General features: G+C 44.5%; 2 pseudogenes, besides 1 other annotated feature; one reads left to right on the top strand and one right to left on the bottom strand.

Moving 5' to 3' along the window:
* Positions 5,549 to 6,829, top strand: ACRP1 (ACR pseudogene 1; annotated as a pseudogene).
* SNRPA1P1 (SNRPA1 pseudogene 1) lies at positions 15,287 to 16,303 on the bottom strand (annotated as a pseudogene).
* Positions 17,745 to 18,302: an enhancer, noted in NCBI's record as "H3K27ac-H3K4me1 hESC enhancer chr2:114413451-114414008 (GRCh37/hg19 assembly coordinates)". NCBI's record gives its function as "activates a minimal SCP1, AML or CMV promoter by ChIP-STARR-seq in naive H9 embryonic stem cells {active_cell/tissue: H9 hESC(naive)}" and the evidence as "EXISTENCE:reporter gene assay evidence [ECO:0000049][PMID:30033119]".

Here is a 25,802-nt window from a genome sequence, read left to right as displayed (position 1 = left end):
CAGCTTTTATTAAGAAAGAGCTTTGCGGGCCAGGCGCGGTGGCTCACACCTGTAATCCCAGCACTTTGGGAGGCCAAGCCGGGTGGATCACGAGGTCAGGAGATCGAGACCATCCTTGCTAACACGGTGAAACCCCGTCTCTACTAAAAATACAAAAAATTAGCCAGGCATGGTGGCGTGTGCTGTAGTCCCAGCTGAGGCAGGAAAATCGCTTGAACCCAGGAGTTGGAGGTTACAGTGAGCCAAGATCGCACCACTGCACTCCAGTCTGGGTGACAGAGCAAGACTCTGTCTCAAAAAAACAAAAACAAAAACAAAAAAAAATCAGAGTTTTGTAAAACGCCATTGACAACAAATCCAATTCCAATGCCTGCGTGAGGACATGAGTCTGAGCTCTAGTGGGGCTCCCTGGCAGCATTTGGTCTTGACGAACACCTCCAAAATAAATTCACTCTAGAAGTCTGACATCACTTTGTAAGAATGAAGCCATCCTTTTCAGAAATACTGTGTAGAGAGTAGCTTGCAGATGAAACTCCACAATGCCTGGGAGGGAAGTCTGAATGGAAGATCAGATTAAAAGAGAGTCAGTGGGTCCTAGAAAGAAGGAATCCTGCAGGGTAGGCCATATTCTTTAGTAGAGCTTGATAATAGTGAGGGAGGACACAACTTTTTCTCTGCCCTCTTAATGTTGTGACTGAGACCTATGAATTAAGCTGACAAAAGACAGATTAATAATGGAAAATCATTTAAATTTTATTTGACATTTATATTTGTATGTGGCACAGGAAGGGGGCCTTCATAGAAAAAAAAGTGAAAACCTCAAGGAAGTGGCGAGATTTGGGGGCTTACGGTACCATCATAACAAAGGGCAATAAATTGTGGGGAAGTGACTAGACAAAGAAAAGGCATTTGGGCTTCTAGGGGTGGCAAATTGAGGGGGAAAAACCTAGGAAATATATGGGAGAAATGAATGGACAATAAGGGTTATTTCCATAAGGTTTATTTGTGCAGACTCATGTCAGAGTTGACTTCTTATCTCCAGTGATATTTAAGATGTTGTGCATCCTTCCTAAGTGAGTTAGAAAGGATACAATAAATAGGTGGGTTTTCCTTTCCAACAGGCATTGTTGAAACTCTGAGACTAGTGTCATAGCTCTGCCCCCCTTGACTGGGGCAGAGGTCCAAGCCAGTGTGGGTAGCAGCCTGCTTGCAGAGAGGAAGAAGGCTGCAGAGTGGTGCCTCCACAGCAACACAGACTCAGGGTGAGAGGCAGCCCAGGCTCACTGTTGGCACATGTAAGACACATCCTGGTGATTCCCAGGAATATGTGGAGCAGAGGAGAAAAACTGTGAGAATTGAAATTCTTGACTGGGCAAATGGATGCTTAGGCCTAGGGAGTTTCGGATATCAATATTCATGTGATCGCATTCGACTCACCCTGGGGAGGCTAAGGAGCATCTGGTTTCACGGTGGCTGGGGAGGGTGTCTTGTGAGGAACCTGTTAATTTTCCACAAAGTGTGAATTTGCACCAGTCTAAGATGCAAATCATTTCTCTCCTTGCCTTTCTCCTTTGCATCAGTCTCAGTGCCCCGTCACTGGAGGGATGATGGAAGGAGGGGAAAAGAACTGTGCTGAGCTCAGTTGCTCTTGGGAGGGGCCTGCCACAGTCAAAATAGGGAACCTCTACCAGGACTGTCAAGCCACAGGCGACAATAGACTTCTGGAAGTGTTTGGCAGCGTAGCTTTAAGGAACCAGCAAGGAAAAGGACCCTGCAGTAAATGTCAGGGGTGCCCTAATTTATTTCTCTAAAAGCCCCAAATCCCCCATTACTAACTTCTCTTCCAAGGCCTAAAAGCCCTCTATTAAAATGCAAATGGATTTGCTAAAGACTTTCCATTAAGCCATTACTAACAATTAATGCCTTAGCTGCCCCTCCTTTTTTTAGGTAGGAATACCGTAGGGAGTTGGGACATAAGGCAGCTAAATTTTGATGGGAGAGAGTGAGAACCTGATCTACCCTCTCCATCCGAGTTACTTGACATTTGCTCTGTAGACTGGGAAGGGGACACGTGGTTGGTGTGGCTTTCTGTGGGTCATAGGCATCCCTGTATTTCAGGCTTCCTGGAGTGTCCGGCAGGTACCTCTCCATTCAAGACGGGTGTAGCTGTGGCTCTAGAGCTCTGTCCATAACCAAGCTGTCTCTCTCTCCCCTGGCTCCCAGAAGATCTCGTGCCCATCCAACACTACCTGACACACTTGACACCAGATGAGTTCTAGAACAGTAGGGGGAATTTCTTCCGTACCAGACCAGGCTCACGGAGGGCCCCAGGTGTGACCTAGAACAAATTGTCATTACTGACTCCATGGTCAGAGAGGCCCAGACACCTCTCCCTACATACTTAGGCACACTAGAGATACCATTTATCCCAGAAGCAACAGGTGACCCCATTAAAAGGCAGCAGTGAGCAGCAAGGTTTTGCCAGCAGGACAAGACCCAGTAGGACTTGATCTCTGCATGTGACCTATACTTTCAGCTTTCCAAAAGTGGTGCATCTCAATCTCTTTTTTTCTTGATAATGGATAATGAGGCTTCTTAATTCAAGGCAATTCAGTCATATGAGTCTAAAACGCAGCCTTTTTTGGGTAACAACAACAAAAAGTCAATAATTTGAGGATTCTTCCTTTAACTCTTATTTCCTTCTCTGAGGGCGTGGTCTAAGTTTCTGACAGGTTTGTCACTTCTCCTGTCCCTCAGGGAAGAGAGTCTCATCCCGGCTGTCCTTGTTCTCACTGGCCTCACTTGACACGTGGCCATCCCCTTCTGGCCTGGAGTGACAGCCTCTATTCCAGCTGCCGATACCCATGGCTCTGCCCTGGCCTCTGTCCAGCCCCCTAGCCTGCCATGCTTTGTCCCCTGTCTGATGATGTCCACAGCTCTTGGGGGTCCCTATGTTCCTGGGAGGCTGATCTTAGGGTCCCCACTGCCAACCGTTGCTGTCCTATTCTATTACTCAGACGGATTGTAGTCTCCTAGCTACATCTTGGTTGCCATGCAAAACCTTTTTTGTTCTGGAATTCCCATAAACCTAATAGGATCACTCTGTTTCTGTTTCGGGTTTTTTGTTTTTCATTTTTACAAACACATCCTGTACCCATAAGCCCAAGTCTTAAAGAAACCCCCAGGCTCCAACTCCTGTGATCCCTTCAAACCTTCCATGTCTTACCACCTCCTTCAACTCATCTGCTTTGGGGCTGGAAGGGTATTGCTTGGGTATTGCTTCTTTCCCATTGGGTTTTGAGTCCCTGCAGACTTTTAAGCATTTGTTATTTAAAGCCCAGGTGTCGGCTGGGTGCAGTTGCTCATTCCTGTAATTTACCCAGCACTTTGGGAGGCCGAGGCAGGTGGATCACCTGAGGTCAGGAGTTTGAGACCAGCCTGGCCAACATGGTGAAACCCAATCTCTACTAAAAATATAAAACATTAGCAGGGTGTGGTGGTGGATGCCTGTCGTCCCAGGTACTCGGGAGGCTGAGGCAGGAGAATCACTTGAACCCGGGAGGTGAAGGTTGCAGTGAGCCAAGATCGCGCCACTGCATTCCAGACTGGGTAACAAGAGCGCAACTTCATCTCAAAAAAAAACCCGCCAAGGTGCTGGGATTTAGAAAACCCTTTTCTGTCTGAGGACACCTGGCTCTTCACAATAAAACCCATGGCTTTCAAGACTATGGGCTCTGCCCTAGACTTAAAAAGTCATCTTGGCCGGGCGCGGTGGCTCACACCTGTAATCCCAGCACTTTGGGAGGCCAAGGAGGGTGGATCACAAGGTCGTGAGATCGAGACCATCCTGGCTAACACGGTGAAACCTCATTTCTACTAAAAATACAGAAAATTAGCCGGGCATGGTGGCGGGCGCCTGTAGTCTCAGCTACTCGGGAGGCTGAGGCAGGAGAATGGCGTGAACCCGGAAGATGGAGCTTGCAGTGAGCCGAGATCGCACCACTGCACTCCAGCCTGGGCGACAGAGCGAGACTCTGTCTCAAAAAAAAAAAAAATCGTCTTAATGGCTAATAAGCCAGGATTGTTTTCATTGTTGTTTCAATGTCACCCCTACCGCAAGGGCAGTGCATGTACAAAACTCTCACTGCTGCTTGGATGGTAAGAAAAGGTAGGGGCTAAGGGGATTAAAAAACGTAAAGCCAGCGAGCACTCCTTCAGCAGCCGCTTACCAGACGCCTGCTGTGTGCCGAGCCCTATGCACGTCACTCGTGTGTCCCCTGTCTCCCGTCTTGGCCTGTGCAGCTATGTTCTGGGTCTGCCCCTACCTCAGTCTGCTCCCATCTGCTCTGCAGGTGACCTCCAGATCCACCCCCAGGGTTGTAGGTGCTGCTGCGGTGGGGGCCAGAGTGGCTGCTGCTGTTGGGGACCCTTCTGTCTGTGGGACCCTTGAAAAGGAGCAACGCTGGCGCATGCGCCGTAGCATCGGGTCTTTCTAACCCAAAGGTCACGGTAGAGAGTCCAGCGCTGTCTTTCTTTTTTTGTTTGAGACGGAGTCTGGCTCTGTCGCCCAGGCTGGAGTGCGGTGGCTCGATCTCGGCTCACTGCAGCCTCCGCCTCCCGGGTTCACGCCGTTCTCCTGCCTCAGCCTCCCCAGCAGCTGGGACTACAGGCGTCTGTCACTACGCCCGGCTAATTTTTTGTATTTTTAGTAGAGACGGGGTTTCACCGTTTTAGCCGGGATGGTCTCGATCTCCTGACCTCGTGATCCGCCCGCCTCGGCCTCCCAAAGTGCTGGGATGACAGGCGTGAGCCCCCGCGCCCGGCCTAGTCTGGGGCTTTCGAGGAAGTCCGCATCGGGGTTGTTTCAACCGCCCCTGCCCCTGCCAGGTCTGCCCGTGTGTGGAGGCGCTGCCCGAGCTTCCCCTGCGGTCTCCTCGGAACAGATGTGCAGCATATGGGGAGGGACTTACTGACCCAGCTCCAGCAGATCCCGTCCGCAGCTGAGCCGAGGAGGTCTGAAGAGGGACAAGAAGCAGGGGGAGTGGCTTACAGCCAGACTGTGGGAGCGGACAGTGTGTCTCAGACTGGAGTCTGGAGAGGAGCAGTCCTGAGGCCAGGCTGCAGCCCCACCACCTCTCTACTGTGACCTGGGTGGGCGGTGCTCCAGCCTTCTGATCCAAAACGGGAATAACGGGACCATGTGACTCAGGGAGTGCTTGGTGCGCACCAGGTGTTATTGGCAATACTGCAACTAACCTCCATAATCCATCGTTAATACGCACACCCACCCTCCATCCACCTGTCCACGGGCCTCCACCCTTCCTTCCTCTCTTCCTCTCTCCTCTGGCCTTGATTTGGGTAACGTTTCCCCACCTCCTCCCACCACCTCTCGTCTGCTCTTTCTGGTGTATAAGGAGGGGTCGGGGCATCGACTGGATGGGTCTGAGGTTTAACTGGAGCATCACAGAGGATGGGGTTCGGTGGGGCAAGGAGGCAGGGCTTTTGTCCGTGTCTCCCGTGATCACTGACCACCGAGTGGTCTGACTGTAGCCCCCAGGCCATCATCTATGCTGATGGAGGCACGTGTGGATCTCATCGACCTGGACTTGTGTAACTCGACCCAGTGGTACAATGAGCACGTTCAGCCAACCAATGTGTGCGCGGGGTATCCTGTAGGCAAGATCGACACCTGCCAGGTAACCTTCCTTCTGGCTTCTGGGCCCCTGGGTCCCTCCAGGACTCTCCCGGCCCCTGAGAACATCCTCCTTTTGGATCCCCAAGCTCCACTATCTCCACTGCTCTGCCCAGGGCCCTTCTCTAGTGACTGCTTCCCCGGTCCCTTTTCTAGCACCTACTCTCACAGTGGGGATGAGCGGTGACAGCCACCGGCTGCCCCTGCCATGTGCCCCTGTGGACACGTGGGTTTGCTCATCTCACTGCAAGGAAAGCCCTGACAATTCACACCCTCCTCACATCCCACATGAAGCCCCTGACACCCCCTCAAACTTTACTACAACCACTTGCGTTTACAGCAGCAGGAGACCATGTGACTGTGGAAATTGTCCTCCCAGAGCCTTCTGACCCCTCTGGGCAGGGGAAGAGTGGCTCAGGCAGATAGTGACCTCTGTGTCCTTCTGGACAGGGGGACAGCGGCGGGCCTCTCATGTGCAAAGACAGCAAGGAAAGCGCCTGTGTGGTCGTGGGAATCACAAGCTGGGGGGTAGGCTGTGCCCGTGCCAAGCGCCCCGGAATCTACACGGCCACCTGGCCCTATCTGAACTGGATCGCCTCCAAGATTGGTTCTAACGCTTTGCGTATGATTCAATCGGCCACCCCTCCACCTCCCACCACTCGACCGCCCCCGATTCGACCCCCCTTCTCCCACCCTCTCTCTGCTCACCTTCCTTGGTATTTCCAACCGCCCCCTCGACCACTTCCACCCCGACCACCGGCAGCCCAGCCCCGACCCCCACCTTCACCCCCGCCCCCACCCCCACCCCCACCCTCACCTTTACCCCCACCCCCACCCCCACCCCCACCTACACCCTCATCTACCACAAAACTTCCCCAAGGACTTTCTTTTGCCAAGCGCCTACAGCAGCTCATAGAGGTCTTGAAGGGGAAGACCTATTCCGACGGAAAGAACCATTATGACATGGAGACCACAGAGCTCCCAGAACTGACCTCGACCTCCTGATCTGACCTGGTTCTCAACAGACCCAGTGAGCCCTTCACTCCTGAGAAAAAGGAAAGATGAAATAAATAAATAAACATATATATATAGATATACACACACACATATCCGTATGTATACATGCATATACATCAAGAGATGCTTTCTGGACTTCTTCCTATCCCCCCTCCCAACCCAAATTTCCCCTATAAAATCTACCCTCTCTCCTTCACCCTACAATAAGGCAGAATTGCTTGTACATTAGTGCCAATCGTGTTTTTTAAAATCTTGATTTTTAATGCTGGAATAAGGTGACCTGGGGCTGTAGACCAGGGATGGTCTTTATTTCACACTTAGGGAAAAACGACAAATGGTGAAAATAAAAGAGCCATCTCTGCATGTGCAAGTCAAAGGAGGTGGACCCCCAAAGCAGCAGCTGTGAGTGAGCTGACTGTGAAAGAGGGGGTGTGGGTCCAAGTCTTCTCTCAGGAGGCTGGTGGTGTTGACACCCACAGAGAAGATTCTGCATGAATGTTGAACTCCCCAGAACACAAAGGCTAAGGAGGCCACTAAGCCACCAAAACAAGTGTCTACTACCAAACACAATTTTGCTTGTGGCTTGTTAGTGTCCAGTTGACACCAACAAGCCTGTTCATTACTTGCCTGTAGTTAAATCTTATTAGTTCCTGGATTTGAGCAAATTAAAAAATGTATTCTTTGCTAGCGCTTTCTAGGAATTGCAATGGGGAATACTTTTTGGATGCCCCTGAGTGAGCTTTGAATGGCTTCCTTAGGATTTGGGGTTATTTATTTTAAGACCTTCCATTGCAAGGAACAGAAACCAGTTAGAGCCATTTAAGTGATAAGGATGCAAAGATGTCACACAGAACCAATAGGAAAGGCCAGAAGCAGACACCAAGAATGGTGAGGAACCCAGGCAAGGCATGACCCTGGTGTGCATAGAGTACCTGCCCCACACTGCCCCACGCTGGGGGCAGCTGTCACCTGGAACTGTTCACATCTATTTGCAAAATCCTGGGGAAGAAATCCTCCAGCCTGACCAATATGGTGAAACTCCATCTCTACTAAAAACACAGAAAAATTAGCCAGGTGAGGTGGCGGTGCCTGTAATCCCAGCTACTCGGGAGGCTGAGGCAGGAGAATCGCTTGAACCCGGGAGGCAGAGGTTGCAGTAAGGCGAGATCACGCCACTGCACTCCAGCCTGGGCGACAGAGTGAGACTCCATCTCAAAAAAAAAAAATGGAAATCCTGATAGGTTCAGGCCAACCGCCCACTCTGATCAGGGAGTAAAAATGCAAAACTTGACTGCTGGTTTAACCCCTTGTGAGACTGAAGATGGCAGGTCTCAGAAAGAGAGAAAACCTTGGCATTTGGCTGAGCAGTCATTGCAACAAGCTTTCACTCATATGTGTGTCCACCTAGCTGCTTGTGTGAGTCAAGTGCAAGGTGGTCCTATGCCCCGGTTACCAAGACAGGTGGCAGAGAGAAGGTGCCATGGCAGTTGGGAGGAACCCTGGCTGAGAAAGCTCAAAGGACCAGTCATTTTCCTGCTGGAGCTGGAACCTGGACTGATGGAGCAGCTGTGAGTCTTCATCTTCAAAATTTATTGGTCTACCTGGGTTCAAGCAAATACCCTGCTCTACCCCGCATAAGCTCTGTGCTCTGGGGAAGATGTGCCACCAGAGGGCTGTGTGACCATGAAATAAGGACAGATGCGGAGCATTAAAGCAGGTCTTGACACACCAGAAATGCCCATGAACGTGGGCTGTCATTCATGGGCCAGCTGGTGGTGACTGCTGGTGCATAATCTTATGCTTATCTGCAGGGGCACTTTGGTGCCTGCCATTTTCCTCTTATGACCCCTGAAATGCTTTGGCCACATAGGCGGGCTTGCATATTGAGTCGAATGGCCCATAGCTCTGTAGGATAGTAACAGTTGATCACACTTAAAACATTCTATCTGCCTTGGCTAAGAGCTGGTGCTGCTGAAGTTGGAGTTGGTAATTCATTTTATTGACTTTTAGGCTCTCTCTCCTAAAGCCAGTTTCTTAATCTCCCTTTGTACCCTGGTGCCAGACACTTGACATTCTCTAAATACTAAGCATACAAAATGCAAGGCCCCGTGCAGAAGCCGTAACAGCGGCAGCTTGGGATTCACCCTCAGTGACCCTGAGCCAGACACAGAGCCAGGTGGGCCAGCACGTAGAAGTATGGGGCAAGGTGTGCTGCGGTCACAAAGGGGTTTTGGACAAGTGGGGGTGGAGCTACAGCAGCAGCAGCTTTTTTCTACCCCAGAGACTTCACTGCTTCTCTTCTGAGCTTTCTGTGATCCAGAGTTGATTTTCTTGGTTCTCTCTCCCCATAAATGCTCCTTGTCCTTAGTTTCTTCCCTCCCCAGTGATGGAGAAAATCTTACCCTGGGCCTATCATCTATAGCTGACATCTGGGCCTCCTTGGAGAGACAGGGCCTACTCTCAAGGAACACTCTGTGAGAGGCCATAGACTGGGTGGAGAATTCAAGCCGTGATTCCTGGAAACTTCACATGCACATTAATATGGTGACATACCACATAATCTCCTGATCTTTCACCATTCACACTACTCTATGACTTGCTTTTCCATTTAGCAAATATAGAGATATTTGTATGCTAGTGTGTACAGGCCCATCTTATGTCTCTAAATTGATCTTCCACAATAGGGATACTTATAAGACAAAGTGGCACAGTTCTTTCCTAGGAAGGAATGTTTAGCCTTCCATGCATGAGAGTGCCCATTTCCCTACATCTAAGCCGACACTGTTCTTATCAAATGTGTCTATCTTTACCAATGTAATAGATGTTCCAATTTTCATTTTTAAAATTGACGCTCTTTGATCTGCCTTCATGTTCCTATGGATAGTTTAACCCTGAAAAGGTTAAACTTTCAGATCGTGAAGCAGGTGTCTCCTGCTCATAGTGACAGGAGAAATGGAAGAATGACCAGCTGTGTGACAAACCAAAACTCCAGGGACCTAGACATCTAAGGGGTGTGCCCACCTAGACATCCGAGGGGTGTGCCCACCTAGACATCCGACGGGTGTGCCCACCTAGACATCCGACGGGTGTGCCCACCTAGACATCCGAGGGGTGTGCACACTTAGATATCTGAGGGATGTGCTCACTGTTTTCTCATGGGACAGCTAAGCAAATGAAAAGTATTTGTAAAAACTGAATTCATAATGAAGTTTACTGATAGGAACAATAAAAGAAAATGGTTTGACAGTGGCTAAACTGTACAGGGCAAGACTCTGATGCCAGAACAGTGGGCGCGGCAGGGATCATGCACAATATTGACACTCACAGAGGCAGAGGTCCTCGCTGTGCCTCTCATCAATATAGGAAATCTTACAATATTTGCAAGGGAAAACGTTCTGGTGAATCCAATCTTAGCAAATTTACAATGGAAATGTGAAAAAATGAAAACGGTTCATCTTTAATACGTAGAAAACTGACCAAGAAACAGAAGTTAGCTTAATGGAGTTTACTCCAGAAACTCTATTCTTGGTAAAGAATCATCAGTGATCTAATTCTGGACACTACACATCGGTTTTTGCATGGGCATGTGCTTTCATGTCTCTTGGGTAAATACTTAGGGGTGGAATGGCTGGATCATACGGTGGGTGTAAGTTTTGACATACAAATGCATCCCCGAAGCAATCACCACAACCAAGAGAGTGAACACGTCCGTCACTCCCTAAAGTTTCCTTGTGGCACTTTGCAATCCCTCCAGCCTGTCCCCTCTCCTGCCCCAGGCAATGTCTGGTCTGCTTTGTCTTATATCAATTTGCTTTTCTCATAATTTTATATGAATGAAACCCTATAGCAAGCCCTTTTTAAAATCAATCTTCTTTCACTCAGCATAATCATTTTGAGATTCATTTTGTGTATCGGTGATTTATTTCTTTCCATTGCTGAGTATTTCATCACACGGCTATACCACAGTTTGTTTTCCTATCTACCTGTTGATGGACATTGGATTGTTTCCAGTCTGGGCTATTACAAATGAAGCAGCTATGCGCACTCAAATACAGGGATTTGTATGGGCATACATGTTCATATCTCTTGGCTAACCATGTGTGTGAGGAATGGCTGGTAGGTATATGTTAAAAAGCACTTTTTGAAAAACATTGAGTGTTTTTTCAAAGTGATTGCAACATTTCACAGTCCCACCAGCAGTATATGAGAGTCCCGACTCTTCCACATCCTTGACAAGATTTGGTATGGTCAGTCTTTTTTATTTTCTTTTATTATTATTATACTTTAAGTTTTAGGGTACATGTGCACAATGTGCAGGTTTGTTACATATGTATGCAAGTGCCATGTTGGTGTGCTGCACCCATTACCTCGTCTTTTAGCATTAGGTACATCTCCTAATGCTATCCCTCCCCCCTCCCCCTATCCCACAACAGTCTCCGGAGTGTGATGTTCCCCACCCTGTGTCCAAGTGTTCTCATTGTTCAGTTCCCACCTATGAGTGAGAACATGTGGTGTTTGGTTTTTTGTCCTTGCGATAGTTCGCTGAGAATGATGGTTTCCAGTTTCATCCATGTCCCTACAAAGGACGTGAACTCTTCATTTTTTATGGCTGCATAGTATTCCATGGTGTATATGTGCCACATTTTCTTACTCTAGTCTATCGTTGTTGGACATTTGGGTTGGTTCCAAGTCTTTGCTATTGTGAATAGTGCCACAATAAACATACGTGTGCATGTGTCTTTATAGCAGCATGATTTATAATCCTTTGTGTATATACCCAGTAATGGGGTGTCTGGGTCAAATGGTAGTTCTAGTTCTACATCCCTGAGGAATCGCCACACTGACTTCCACAATGGTTGAACTAGTTTACAGTCCCACCAACAGTGTAAAAGTGTTCCTATTTCTCCACAACCTCTCCAGCACCTGTTGTTTCCTGACTTTTTAATGATTGCCATTCTAACTGGTGTGAGATGGTGTCTCACTGTGGTTTTTACTTGCATTTCTCTGATGACCAGTGATGATGAGCATTTTTTCATGTGTTTTTTGGCTGCATAAATGTCTTCTTTTGAGAAGTGTCTGTTCATATCCTTTGCCCACTTTTTGATGGGGTTGTTTTTTCTTGTAAATTTGTTTGAGTTCATTGTAGATTCTGGATATTAGTCCTTTGTCAGATGGGTAGATTGCAAAAATTTTCTCCCATTCTGTAGGTTGCCTGTTCACTCTGATGGTAGTTTCTTTGGCTGTGCAGAAGCTCTTTAGTTTAATTAGATCCCATTTGTCAATTTTGGCTTTTGTTGCCATTGCTTTTGGTGTTTTAGACATGAAGTCCTTGCCCATGCCTATGTACTGAATGGTATTGCCTAGGTTTTCTTCTAGGGTTTTTATGGTTTTAGGTCTAACATTTAAGTTTTTAATCCATCTTGAATTAATTTTTGTATAAGGTGTAAGGAAGTGATCCAGTTTCAGCTTTCTACATATGGCTAGCCAGTTTTCCCAGCACCATTTATTAAATAGGGAATCCTTTTCCCATTTCTTGTTTTTGTCAGGTTTGTCAAAGATCAGATGGTTGTAGATATGTGGCATTATTTCTGAGGGCTCTGTTCTGTTCCATTGATCTATATCTCTGTTTTGGTACCAGTACCATGCTGTTTTGGTTACTGTAGCCTTGTAGTATAGTTTGAAGTCAGGTAGGGTGATGTCTCCAGCTTTGTTCTTTTGGCTTAGGATTGACTTGGTGATGCGGACTCTTTTTTGGTTCCATATGAACTTTAAAGTAGTTTTTTCCAATCTTGTGAAGAAAGTAATTGGTAGCTTGATGGGGATGGCATTGAATCTATAAATTACCTTGGGCAGTATGGCCATTTTCATGATATTGATTCTTCCTACCCATAAGCATGGAATGTTCTTCCATTTGTTTGTATCCTCTTTTATTTCATTGAGCAGTGGTTTGTAGTTCTCCTTGAAGAGGTCCTTCACATCCCTTGTAAGTTGGATTCCTAGGTATTTTATTCTCTTTGAAGCAATTGTGAATGGGAGTTCACTCATGATTTGGCTCTCTGTTTGTCTGTTATTGGTGTATAAGAATGCTTGTGATTTTTGTACATTGATTTTGTGTCCTGAGACTTTGCTGAAGTTGCTTATCAGCTTAAGGAGATTTTGGGCTAAAACAATGGGGTTTTCTAGATATACAATCATGTCATCTGCAAACAGGGACAATTTGACTTCCTCTTTTCCTAATTGAATACCCTTTATTTCCTTCTCCTGCTAATTGCCCTGGCCAGAACTTCCAACACTATGTTGACTAGGAGTGGTGAGAGAGGGCATCCCTGTCTTGCGCCCGTTTTCAAAGGGAATGCTTCCAGTTTTTGCCCATTCAGTATGATATTGGCTGTGGGTTTGTCATAGATAGCTCTTATTATTTTGAGATACATCCCATCAATACCTAATTTATTGAGAATTTTTAGCATGAAGGGTTGTTGAATTTTGTCAAAGGCCTTTTCTGCATCTATTGAGATAATCATGTGGTTTTTGTCTTTGGTTCTGTTTATATACTGGATTACATTTACTGATTTGCGTATGTTGAACCAGCCTTGCATCCCAGGGATGAAGCCCACTTGATCATGGTGGATAAGCTTTTTGATGTGCTGCTGGATTTGGTTTGCCAGTATTTTATTGAGGATTTTTGCATCAATGTTCATCAAGGATATTGGTCTAAAATTCTCTTTTTTGGTTGTGTCTCTGCCAGGCTTTGGTATCAGGATGATGCTGGCCTCATAAAATGAGTTAGGGAGGATTCTCTCTTTTTCTATTGATTGGAATAGTTTCAGAAGGAAGGGTACCAGCTCCTCCTTGTACCTCTGGCAGAATTAGGCTGTGAATCCATCTGGTCCTGGACTTTTTTGGTTGGTAAGCTATTGATTATTGCCACAATTTCAGAGCCTGTTATTGGTCTATTCAGAGATTCAACTTCTTCCTGGTTTAGTCTTGGGAGGGTGTATGTGTAGAGGAATTTATCCATTTCTTCTAGATTTTCTAGTTTATTTGTGTAGAGGTGTTTGTAGTATTCTCTGATGGTAGTTTGTATTTCTGTGGGATCGGTGGTGATATCCCCTTTATCATTTTTTATTGGGTCTATTTGATTCTTCTCTCTTTTCTTCTTTATTAGTCTTGCTAGCGGTCTATCAATTTTGTTGATCTTTTCAAAAAACCAGCTCCTGGATTCATTATTTTTTTGAAGGGTTTTTTGTGTCTCTATTTCCTTCAGTTCTGCTCTGATTTTAGTTATTTCTTGCCTTCTGCTAGCTTTTGAATGTGTTTGCTCTTGCTTTTCTAGTTCTTTTAATTGTGATGTTAGGGTGTCAATTTTGGATCTTTCCTGCTTTCTCTTGTGGGCATTTAGTGCTATAAATTTCCCTCTACACATTGCTTTGAATGTGTCCCAGAGATTCTGGTATGTTGTGTCTTTGTTCTCGTTGGTTTCAAAGAACATCTTTATTTCTGCCTTCATTTCGTTATGTACCCAGTAGTCATTCAGGAGCAGGTTGTTCAGTTTCCATGTAGTTGAGCAGTTTTGAGTGGGTTTCTTAGTCCTGAGTTCTAGTTTGATTGCACTGTGGTCTGAGAGACAGTCTGTTATAATTTCTGTTCTTTTACATTTGCTGAGGAGTGCTTTACTTTCAACTCTGTGGTCAGTTTTGGAATAGGTGTGGTGTGGTGCTGAAAAAAATGTATATTCTGCTGATTTGAGGTGGCGAATTCTGTAGATGTCTATTAGGTCCGCTTGGTGCAGAGCTGAGTTCAATTCCTGGGTATCCTTGTTAACTTTCTGTGTCGTTGATCTGTCTAATGTTGACAGTGGGGTGTTAAAGTCTCCCATTATTATTGTGTGGGAGTCTAAGTCTCTTTGTAGTCACTAAGGACTTGCTTTATGAATCTGGGTGCTCCTGTATTGGGTGCATGTATATTTAGGATAGTTAGCTCTTCTTGTTGAATTGATCCCTTTACCATTATGTAACGGGCCTTCTTTGTCTCTTTTGATCTTTGTTGGTTTAAAGTCTGTTTTATCAGGGACTAGGATTGCAACCCCTGCCTTTTTTTATTTTCCATTTGCTTGGTAGATCTTCCTCCATCCCTTTATTTTGAGCCTATGTGTGTCTCTGCATGTGAGATGGGTTTCCTGAATACAGCACACTGATGGGTCTTGACTCTTTATCCAATTTGCCAGTCTGTGTCTTTTAATTGGAGCATTTAGCCCATTTACACTTAAAGTTAATATTGTTATGTGTGTATTTGGTCCTGTCATTATGATGTTAGCTGGTTATTTTGCTCGTTAGTTGCTGCAGTTTCTTCCTAGCCTTGATGGTCTTTACATTTTGGCATGTTTTTGCAGTGGCTGGTACCGGTTGTTCCTTTCCATGTTTAATGCTTCCTTCAGGAGCTCTTTTAGGGCAGGCCTGGTGGTGACAAAATCTCTCAGCATTTGCTTGTCTGTAAAGCATTTTATTTCTCCTTCACTTATGAAGCTTAGTTTGGCTGGATATGAAATTCTAGGTTGAAAATTCTTTTCTTTTTCTCTTTTTGGTAGCACAGTGAGTGGAGTTTATTTTTATAATTTGTAGAAAATTGACATTTATATTTCAAAACTTATATTACAAAATTATCAGCAGCAGTCTTAAGCATTTCAACAATGCTGATAGATTCCACTTTGCTAACACAAACAAGGCTATTATACCATGTTCGAAAAGCAAGACTTGTTCCAAGAGGGCCTATTATCATACATCTGCCTCACTGCTCAGGACCCGTTTGTGACTGTGTCTTCTTCCATCTCTTCTTCACCATCACCAGTGGGCCCCGATTTGCGTTCTCTGCCAGGGATCTGACCAGACTGCAGCAACCCCTTCAGCCGCTCCACTTCAGCCAGAGTTGAAGCATTTGCTATAGCATTCTTGATTGTTTCTACATCCCCTGGCGATGGCCCACCTTTCTTTTTGTCAGTTGGCAAACCAGCACCTGGATTAAAAGTTTTGCTTCTCCTGGCAATATCCTTTGCAAGCTGTGCACCCCGTTTGCCCTTGAACATTTTCTCTGCTTCCTGACGCTCTTTTAGTTTCACTTTCTGGAAATCCAGTACTCTGACTTGCGGAACTTTATAAATCACATACAATCTGTAATGCTTCTTATTGGTTACCAGATTTCTTAGGATACTTAGGTAAGTCAGCGATTTGAGAGATGCCAGAGGGTCCAGATCACCCAGTTCCACGAGCCTATTATTGGTGAGAATGAGTTCTGTCAGACAGGGCAGAGCCTGATCAAGTCCCTCACCTATACGGCATATTCTGTTGTTGTTCCCTAACAATGTTTTCAGTCTTCTCAACAAAGGAAAACCATCCAGTTTCCTGATCTCATTGTCAGAAAAATCAATAGCATCAAACTGGTCTAACGTAGCACCTAGATTTTCAATGACGGGAATTTTATACCCCCGGAGGTCCAGCTCCCGGTCGCGCACTGCGTTGGTGTACTGCGCCGCCTGCTCGATCAGCTCCGCCGTCAGCTTGACCATCCTGCAGCCTCCGGTTCCCCCGCGCTGTGGAAAGCTGAAAATTCTTTTAAGAATGTTGAATATTGGCCCCCACTCTCTTCTGGCTTGTAGAGTTTCTGACGAGAGATCCGCTGTTAGTCTGATGGGCTTCCCTTTGTGGGGAACCCAACCTTTCCCTCTGGCTGCCCTTAACATTTTTTCCTTCATTTCAACTTTGGTGATTCTGACAATTATGTGTCTTGGAGTTGCTCTTCTCCAGGAGTATCTTTGTGGCATTCTCTGTATTTCCTGAATCTGAATGTTGGCCTGCCTTGCTAGATTGGGGAAGTTCTCCTGGATAATATCCTGCAGAGTGTTTTCCAACTTGGTTCCATTCTCCCCGTCACTTTCAGGTACACCAATCAGATGTAGATTTGGTCTTTTCACATAGTCCCATATTTCTTGAAGGCTTTGTTCGTTTCTTTTTATTCTTTTTTATCTAAACTTCCCTTCTTGCTTCATTTCATTCATTTCGTCTTCCATCACTGATACCCTTTCTTCCAGTTGATCGCATCGGCTCCTGAGGCTTCTGCATTCTTCACGTAGTTCTCGAGCCTTGGCTTTCAGCTCCATCAGCTCCTTTAAGGACTTCTCTGCATTGGTTATTCTAGTTATCCATTCGTCTAATTTTTTTTTCACAGTTTTTAACTTCTTTGCTATTGGTTTGAATTTCCTCCTGTAGCTTGGAGTAATTTGATCATCTGAAGCCTTCTTCTCTCAGCTCGTCAGTCATTCTCCGTCCAGGTTTGTTCCGTTGCTGGTGAGGAGCTGTGTTCCTTTGGAGGAGGAGAGGCGCTCTGCTTTTTAGAGTTTCCAGTTTTTCTGTTCTGTTTTGTCCCCATCTTTGTGGTTTTATCTACTTTTGGTCTTTGATGATGGTGATGTACAGAAGGGTTTTTGGTGTGGATGTCCTTTCTTTTTGTTAGTTTTCCTTCTAACAGACAGGACCCTCAGCTGCAGGTCTGTTGGAGTACCCGGCCATGTGAGGTGTCAGTCTGCCCCTGCTGCGGGGGGTGCCTCCCAGTTAGGCTGCACGGGGGTCAGGGACCCACTTGAGGAGGCAGTCTGCCGGTTCTCAGATCTCCAGCTGCGTGCTGGGAGAACCACTGCTCTCTTCAAAGCTGTCAGACAGGGACATTTAAGTCTGCAGAGGTTACTGCTGTCTTTTTGTTTGTCTGTGCCCTGCCCCCAGAGGTGGAGCCTACAGAGGCAGGCAGGCCTCCTTGAGCTGTGGTGGGCTCCACCCAGTTCGAGCTTCCCGGCTGCTTTGTTTACCTAAGCAAGCCTGGGCAATGGCGGGTGCCCCTCCCCCAGCCTCGCTGCCGCCTTGCAGTTTGATCTCAGACAGCTGTGCTAGCAATCAGCGAGACTCCGTGGGCGTAGGACCCTCCGAGCCAGGTGCGGGATATAATCTCGTGGTGCGCCGTTTTTTAAGCCCGCAGGAAAAGCACAGTATTTGGGTGGGAGTGACCCGATTTTCCAGGTGCGTCCGTCACCCCTTTCTTTGACTCAGAAAGGGAACTCCCTGACCCCTTGCACTTCCCGAGTGAGGCAATGCCTCGCCCTGCTTCAGCTCGTGCACGGTGCGCTGCACCCACTGTCCTGCGCCCACTGTCTGGCACTCCCTAGTGAGATGAACCGTCAGATGGAAATGCAGAAATTACCCGTCTTCTGCGTCGCTCACGCTGGGAGCTGTAGACCGGAGCTGTTCCTATTGGGCCATCTTGGCTCCACCCCCCTGGTCAGTCTTTTTAATTTTAGTCATTCTGATAGGTGTGTGATAATATTTCACTGTGGTTTTAATTTGCATTTGCTTAATGACTGGTGATGTTAAGCATATTTCCTGTGCTCATTGTCATCCATATATCTTCTTTGGGGAAGTGTCTGTTCAAATCTCTTGCCTATTTAAAAACTTCTGTTGTCATCTTTTTATAGAGTTTTGAGAGTTCTTTTTACATGCTGAGTGTAAGTTCTTTGTCAGCTGTATGCATTGTAAATGTCTTCTCCAAGTCAGAGCTTGCTTTTTAATTCTCTAAATGGTGTCTTTTGGAGCTCAGCAGTTTTAAACTTTGAGGGAGTACAACTAATCACTTTATTCTTTATTGTTACATATTATTTGGTATATCTATTCATTTATTTAGGACTTCCTCAGTTCTCTCAGCAATGTTTTATAGTTTTGAGTGTGCAGGTTTTTCACATATTTTGTCAGAATTATTTATTTATCAGAATTATTTATAAGTATTTCATATTCTGATACTCAATTGTTGATTCCTAGTATACAGAAATACAGTTGATTTTTGTGTGGTTATCATGTATCTTGAAATCATGGATCATGCTTTTGGTGTGTGATCTAAGAGATTTTTGCTTAACCCAAGGTCACAAAAATGTTCTTTTATGTTTTATTCTAGAAATGTTAGAATTTTAGGTTTTTCACTTAGGTTTATGATCCATTTTGAGTTAATTTTTGTATTTCGCATGAACTTGGATTGAATTTTTTTTTTTTTTTTTCCTGAGACATAGTTTCACTCTTGTTGCCCAGGCTGGAGTGCAGTGGCATGATCTCAGCTCACTGCAACCTCTGCCTCCCGGGTTCAAGTGATTCTCCTACCTCAACCTCCTGAGTAGCTGTGATTACAGGCACTCACCACCACGCGTGGCTAATTTTTTTGTATTTTTAGTAGAGATGGGGTTTCACCATGTTGGTCAGGCTGGTCTTGAAATCCTGACCTCAGGTGATCTGCCCATCTCAGCCTCCCAGAGTGCTGGGGATTATAGGCATGAGCCATCGTGCCCGGCTGAAAATTCTTTGGTATATGATGTCCAATTGCTCCAGCACTATATGTTGAAAAGATTTTCCTTTTTCCATTGAAATGCCTTTGTACCTCTGAAGAAAATCAGTCGTTCATATATGTCTGGTTCTGCTTTTGAGCTATTTTGTTCCTTTCATGTATTTGTTTATCTTGACACCAGTACCACACCATCTTACTGCAAATGGGTTTATAATAAGTCTGGAAATCAGGTAGTATACATCTTCCAACATCTGTGTTTTCTTAAAGCTGTTTTGGCGGGTTTAGGTCCTTTATATTTTTCCATATGAGTTTTAGCATCAGTCTGTTGATTTCTACAATAAAAATTCTGGCCGGGCTCGGCGGCTCATGCCAGTAATCCCAGCACTTTGGGAGGCCGAGGTGGGTGGATCATGAGGTCAGGAGATCGAGACCATCCTGGCTAACAAGGTGAAACCCCATCTCTACTAAAAATACAAAAATTAGCCGGACATGGTGGTGCACGCCTGTAATCACAGCTACTCAGGAGGCTGAGGCAGGAGAACGGCGTGAACCCGGGAGGCAGGGCTTGCAGTGAGCCGAGATTGTGCCACTGCACTCCAGCCTGGACAACAGAGCGAGATTCCGTCTCAAAAAAAAAAAAAAAATTCTGCTGAGATTCAGAAATCCCATTACTGGGTATACATCTAAAGGAATATAGATTTCAACAGGAAATCAGTACGTTAAAGAAATATTTGCATTCCTTTGTTCATTGCAGCACTGTTAACAATAGCCAAGATATGGTATCAACCTAAGCATCCATCAACAAGATGAATGGATCAAGAAAATGTGATATATATACACAGAGGAATACTACATAGCCATCAAAAGGAGATTTTATTATTTGTGAAAATGTGGATGAACTGGAGGACATTAGGTGAAATAAGCCAGATACGGAAAGATACATGCTGCATGATGTCACTTATATGTGGAATGTAGTAAAGTCTAAGTCATAGAAACAGAGTAAAATGGTGGTTTCCAGAGGCTGGGGGGTGGGAAGATTGGGAGACTTTGGTCAAAGGACACAAAATTTCAGTTATTCAGGAGCAGTAAGTTCAAGACATGTATTACACATCATGGTGACTATAGTTAATAACAATGTATTGTACACATAAAAATTGCCAAGAGAGTGGATTTTAAGTGTTTTTACTATAAAGAAAATGAAATGATAATTATGTGAGATAATGTTAAATAGCTTGATTTAGCCATTCCACAATGGATACATATATCAAAACATCATGTTGTATATCAGAAATATATACAATTTTTGCTTGCCAATTGAAAGAATTAACTTAAAAGAATCTGCTGATGTTTTCATTGGATTGTGTTGAATTTGCAGGTCAATTTGGGAAGACATGACACCCTAACAATACTGCGTCCTCTGAGTCATGAGCTCAGTGTATCTATTCATTTATTTCGTGTACTGTGTCCTCTGAGTCATGAGCTCAGGGTATCTATTCATTTATTTAGGGTACTGCGTCCTCTGAGTCATGAGCTCAGGGTATCTATTCATTTATTTAGGGTACTGCGTCCTCTGAGTCATGAGCTCAGGGTATCTATTCATTTATTTAGGGTACTGCGTCCTCTGAGTCATGAGCTCAGTGTATCTATTCATTTATTTAGGGTACTGCGTCCTCTGAGTCATGAGCTCAGGGTATCTATTCATTTATTTAGGGTACTGCGTCCTCTGAGTCATGAGCTCAGGGTATCTATTCATTTATTTAGGGTACTGCGTCCTCTGAGTCATGAGCTCAGTGTATCCATTTATTTAGGGTACTGCGTCCTCTGAGTCATGAGCTCAGGGTATCTATTCATTTATTTAGGGTACTGCGTCCTCTGAGTCATGAGCTCAGGGTATCTATTCATTTATTTAGGGTACTGCGTCCTCTGAGTCATGAGCTCAGGGTATCTATTCATTTATTTAGGGTACTGCGTCCTCTGAGTCATGAGCTCAGTGTATCCATTTATTTAGGGTACTGCGTCCTCTGAGTCATGAGCTCAGGGTATCTATTCATTTATTTAGGGTACTGCGTCCTCTGAGTCATGAGCTCAGGGTATCTATTCATTTATTTAGGGTACTGCGTCCTCTGAGTCATGAGCTCAGGGTATCTATTCATTTATTTAGGGTACTGCGTCCTCTGAGTCATGAGCTCAGGGTATCTATTCATTTATTTAGGGTACTATGTCCTCTGAGTCATGAGCTCAGGGTATCTATTCATTTGTTTAGGGTACTGTGTCCTCTGAGTCATGAGCTCAGTGTTTCCATTTATTTAGGTTACTGTGTTCTCTGAGTCATGAGCTCAGTGTGTCTATTCATTTATTTAGGGTACTGCGTCCTCTGAGTCATGAGCTCAGGGTATCTATTCATTTATTTAGGGTACTGTGTCCTCTGAGTCATGAGCTCAGGGTATCTATTCATTTATTTAGGGTACTGTGTCCTCTGAGTCATGAGCTCAGTGTATCCATTTATTTAGGGTACTGTGTCCTCTGAGTCATGAGCTCAGTGTGTCTATTCATTTATTTAGGGTACTGCGTCCTCTGAGTCATGAGCTCAGGGTATCTATTCATTTATTTAGGGTACTGTGTCCTCTGAGTCATGAGCTCAGGGTATCTATTCATTTATTTAGGGTACTGTGTCCTCTGAGTCATGAGCTCAGGGTATCTATTCATTTATTTAGGGTACTGCGTCCTCTGAGTCATGAGCTCAGGGTATCTATTCGTTTATTTAGGGTACTGCGTCCTCTGAATCATGAGCTCAGTGTATCTATTCGTTTATTTAGGGTACTGTGTCCTCTGAGTCATGAGCTCAGGGTATCCATTCATTTATTTAGGGTACTGTGTCCTCTGAGTCATGAGCTCAGGGTATCTATTCATTTATTTAGGGTACTGTGTCCTCTGAGTCATGAGCTCAGTGTATCCATTTATTTAGGTTACTGTGTCCTCTGAGTCATGAGCTCAGTGTGTCTATTCATTTATTTAGGGTACTACGTCCTCTGAGTCATGAGCTCAGGGTATCTATTCATTTATTTAGGGTACTGCGTCCTCTGAGTCATGAGCTCAGTGTATCTATTCATTTATTTAGGGTACTGCGTCCTCTGAGTCATGAGCTCAGGGTATCTATTCATTTATTTAGGGTACTGCGTCCTCTGAGTCATGAGCTCAGGGTATCTATTCATTTATTTAGGGTACTGCGTCCTCTGAGTCATGAGCTCAGGGTATGTATTCATTTATTTAGGGTACTGCGTCCTCTGAGTCATGAGCTCAGGGTATCTATTCATTTATTTAGGGTACTGCGTCCTCTGAGTCATGAGCTCAGGGTATGTATTCATTTATTTAGGGTACTGCGTCCTCTGAGTCATGAGCTCAGGGTATCTATTCATTTATTTAGGGTACTGCGTCCTCTGAGTCATGAGCTCAGGCTATCTATTCGTTTATTTAGGGTACTGCGTCCTCTGAGTCATGAGCTCAGGGTATCTATTCATTTATTTAGGGTACTGTGTCCTCTGAGTCATGAGCTCAGGGTATCTATTCATTTATTTAGGGTACTGTGTCCTCTGAGTCATGAGCTCAGTGTATCCATTTATTTAGGGTACTGTGTCCTCTGAGTCATGAGCTCAGTGTGTCTATTCATTTATTTAGGGTACTGCGTCCTCTGAGTCATGAGCTCAGTGTATCTATTCATTTATTTAGGGTACTGCGTCCTCTGAGTCATGAGCTCAGGGTATCTATTCATTTATTTAGGGTACTGCGTCCTCTGAGTCATGAGCTCAGGGTATCTATTCATTTATTTAGGGTACTGCGTCCTCTGAGTCATGAGCTCAGTGTATCTATTCATTTATTTAGGGTACTGCGTCCTCTGAGTCATGAGCTCAGGGTATCTATTCATTTATTTAGGGTACTGCGTCCTCTGAGTCATGAGCTCAGGGTATCTATTCATTTATTTAGGGTACTGCGTCCTCTGAGTCATGAGCTCAGGGTATCTATTCATTTATTTAGGGTACTGTGTCCTCTGAGTCATGAGCTCAGGGTATCTATTCATTTATTTAGAGTACTGCGTCCTCTGAGTCATGAGCTCAGGGTATCTATTCATTTATTTAGGGTACTGTGTCCTCTGAGTCATGAGCTCAGGGTATCCATTCATTTATTTAGGGTACTGTGTCCTCTGTGCCATGAGCTCAGTGTATCTATTCATTTATTTAGGGTACTGCGTCCTCTGAGTCATGAGCTCAGTGTATCCATTTATTTAGGGTACTGCGTCCTCTGAGTCATGAGCTCAGTGTATCTATTCATTTATTTAGGGTACTGTGTCCTCTGAGTCATGAGCTCAGGGTATCTATTCATTTATTTAGGGTACTGTGTCCTCTGAGTCATGAGCTCAGGGTATCTATTCATTTATTTAGGGTACTGTGTCCTCTGAGTCATGAGCTCAGGGTATCTATTCATTTATTTAGGGCTGCTTCAATTTCTCTCAGCAATGTTTTGTAATTTTGAGTGTGCAGGTTTTTCACATATTTTGTCAGAATTATTTCTCAATATTTCGTATTCTGATATTCAATTGTTGACTGCCAGTATACAGAAATACAATTGATTTTTGTGTGGTTCCCATGTATCTTGAAACCATGCCAAGTTCATTTATTAATTCTGGTGCTCTGTAGCTGCCACTGGATTTCAACATAGACAATCAAGTCTTCTGTGAATAAAGACAGTGTTATTTCTTTCTTTATTTTTGAGATGGAGTCTCGCTCTGTCTTCCAGGCTGGCGTGCAGTGGCACAATCTTGGCTCACTGCAACTTCTGCCTCCCAGGTTCAAGTGATTCTCCTACCTCAGTCTCACGAGTAGTTGGGACTACAGGCATGTGCCAGAACGCCTGGCTAATTTTTGTATTTTTAGTAGAGATTGGGTTTCACCATGTTGGCCAGGCTGGTCTTGAACTCCTGACCTCGGGTGAACCACCCAACTCGGCCTCCCAAAGTGCTGGGGTTACAGGTGTGAGCCTCCACGCCCAACCTTATTTATGTTTTTCTATCTGAAAGCCCTTGTTTTTCTTGCCTTATTTCACAGTACAATGCTGAATGGAAGTGGTGAGAGTGGACATTCTTGTTCCTGAGCTTAAGCATGAAAAGCTTCAGTCTGTTGCCATTAAGTGTGATGTTAACTGTGGGTTTTTCACAAATACCATTTATTAGGCTGAGGATATTTTATTCTCTAAGAAAAATATAGAGGTTTATATTTTTGCTAAGAGGTTTATATTTTTATTTTTTACACAGTAATGAGTGTTGAATTTTGCCAGCTTTTCCTACATTTATTGAGATGATCATGTAATTTTTCTGTTTTTACTTAGTTAATCTGGTGTATTAAATAAACTATTTTAGAACAACTTTAGATTTATAGTAGTCACAGATTGTTACAGATTTAATCCTCTAGTTTGAGACTATTTCTCAGTCTTTCTTTGCTCTTATATGACCTTGACAAATTTGAGGGATAGTTAGGTATTTTGTAGAATATCCCTCCATTTGAATTTGTGTAATATTTTTCTCATGATTATATTGGGATTATGAATTTTGGGAAAAAGTCTCATAGAGACAAATTATCCTCATCACATCCTATCAGGAGTCTACAACATACATATGACAACAGTGATGACATTAACCTTGATCCGTTGGTCAGGGCAGTGTTTTCTGGGTTTCATCACTGTTCGCTTTCTATAAGTGCTTCTTTAGAAGTGAGCCACTCAGTCCAGCCCATTCTCTGTAGTGATGGTGGTTGGGGGTGTTGGCTCCACCCCCTGCAGATGGCAGGAGTTACACATAGTATTTTTAATTTTTCTGTATGAAAGATTTGTCTCTTATTATTCATCTATTCATTATATTAGTGTAGATCCCTAATGTATATTTATTTTATACAGTGGACTATAAACCAATATGACATTATATAATTTGTTGCTCACATTTTTCCAGCTTTGCCCATTGGGAGCCCTTTCATATTGGCTCTTGAGTCCCTTTGACATGCCTTCATCATTTTTTAAATTAAAAAATTATTACTAATTTATTTTTATTTTATGGAGATAGGTTCTTTCTATGTTACAGCCCAGGCTGGTGTGGTCTTGAACTCCCGGCCTCAAGCAATCCTCCTACCTCTGCCTTCCAAAGTGCTGGGATTACAGGTGTGAGCCATTGCACCCGTGGCTTCATTCCCGGCTTCATTTAATTTGTTGAGCACATCCTTCCTTTCTGATATAATAGGTGCTACAGGCTCATTTTGCATTTCCCCTGCTTCAACCCTGGAATCCACCATTTCTCTAAAGTAATCTGGTTTTTTCACTGGAAAGTGTTTTTTTAGAAACTAAGATCTGGACACTGGGTGTGCTTGTCAATACTGAGATGTATTACTTCTAAGCCCTCAAAGCTGGATGAGACAGTTAGGTAATATATGTTGTATACTAACCCATGTACACACATGTATCTATTATTGTTTTTGTATCTATCCATTTTATATATATATAAAGCTAAATGAGAGTTCACGATAATACTTTCACCTCTTATCCAGTACCGCAAGATTTAGTTTATCCTTTTCTTGCTTCCAATACTTTTTTTTTTTTTGAGACAGAATCTTGCACTGTGGCTCAGGCTAGAGTGCAGTGGCGTGTGATCTCAGCTCACTGCAACCTCCCCCTCGTGGGTTCAAGCGAT

The sequence above is a fragment of the Homo sapiens genome, chromosome 2 (assembly GCF_000001405.40).
Source record: "Homo sapiens chromosome 2, GRCh38.p14 Primary Assembly".
In the NCBI taxonomy this organism is placed as follows: domain Eukaryota; kingdom Metazoa; phylum Chordata; class Mammalia; order Primates; family Hominidae; genus Homo; species Homo sapiens.
Note: the sequence above shows the minus strand (reverse complement) of the source record. Positions and strands in the feature narration are given on the sequence as shown.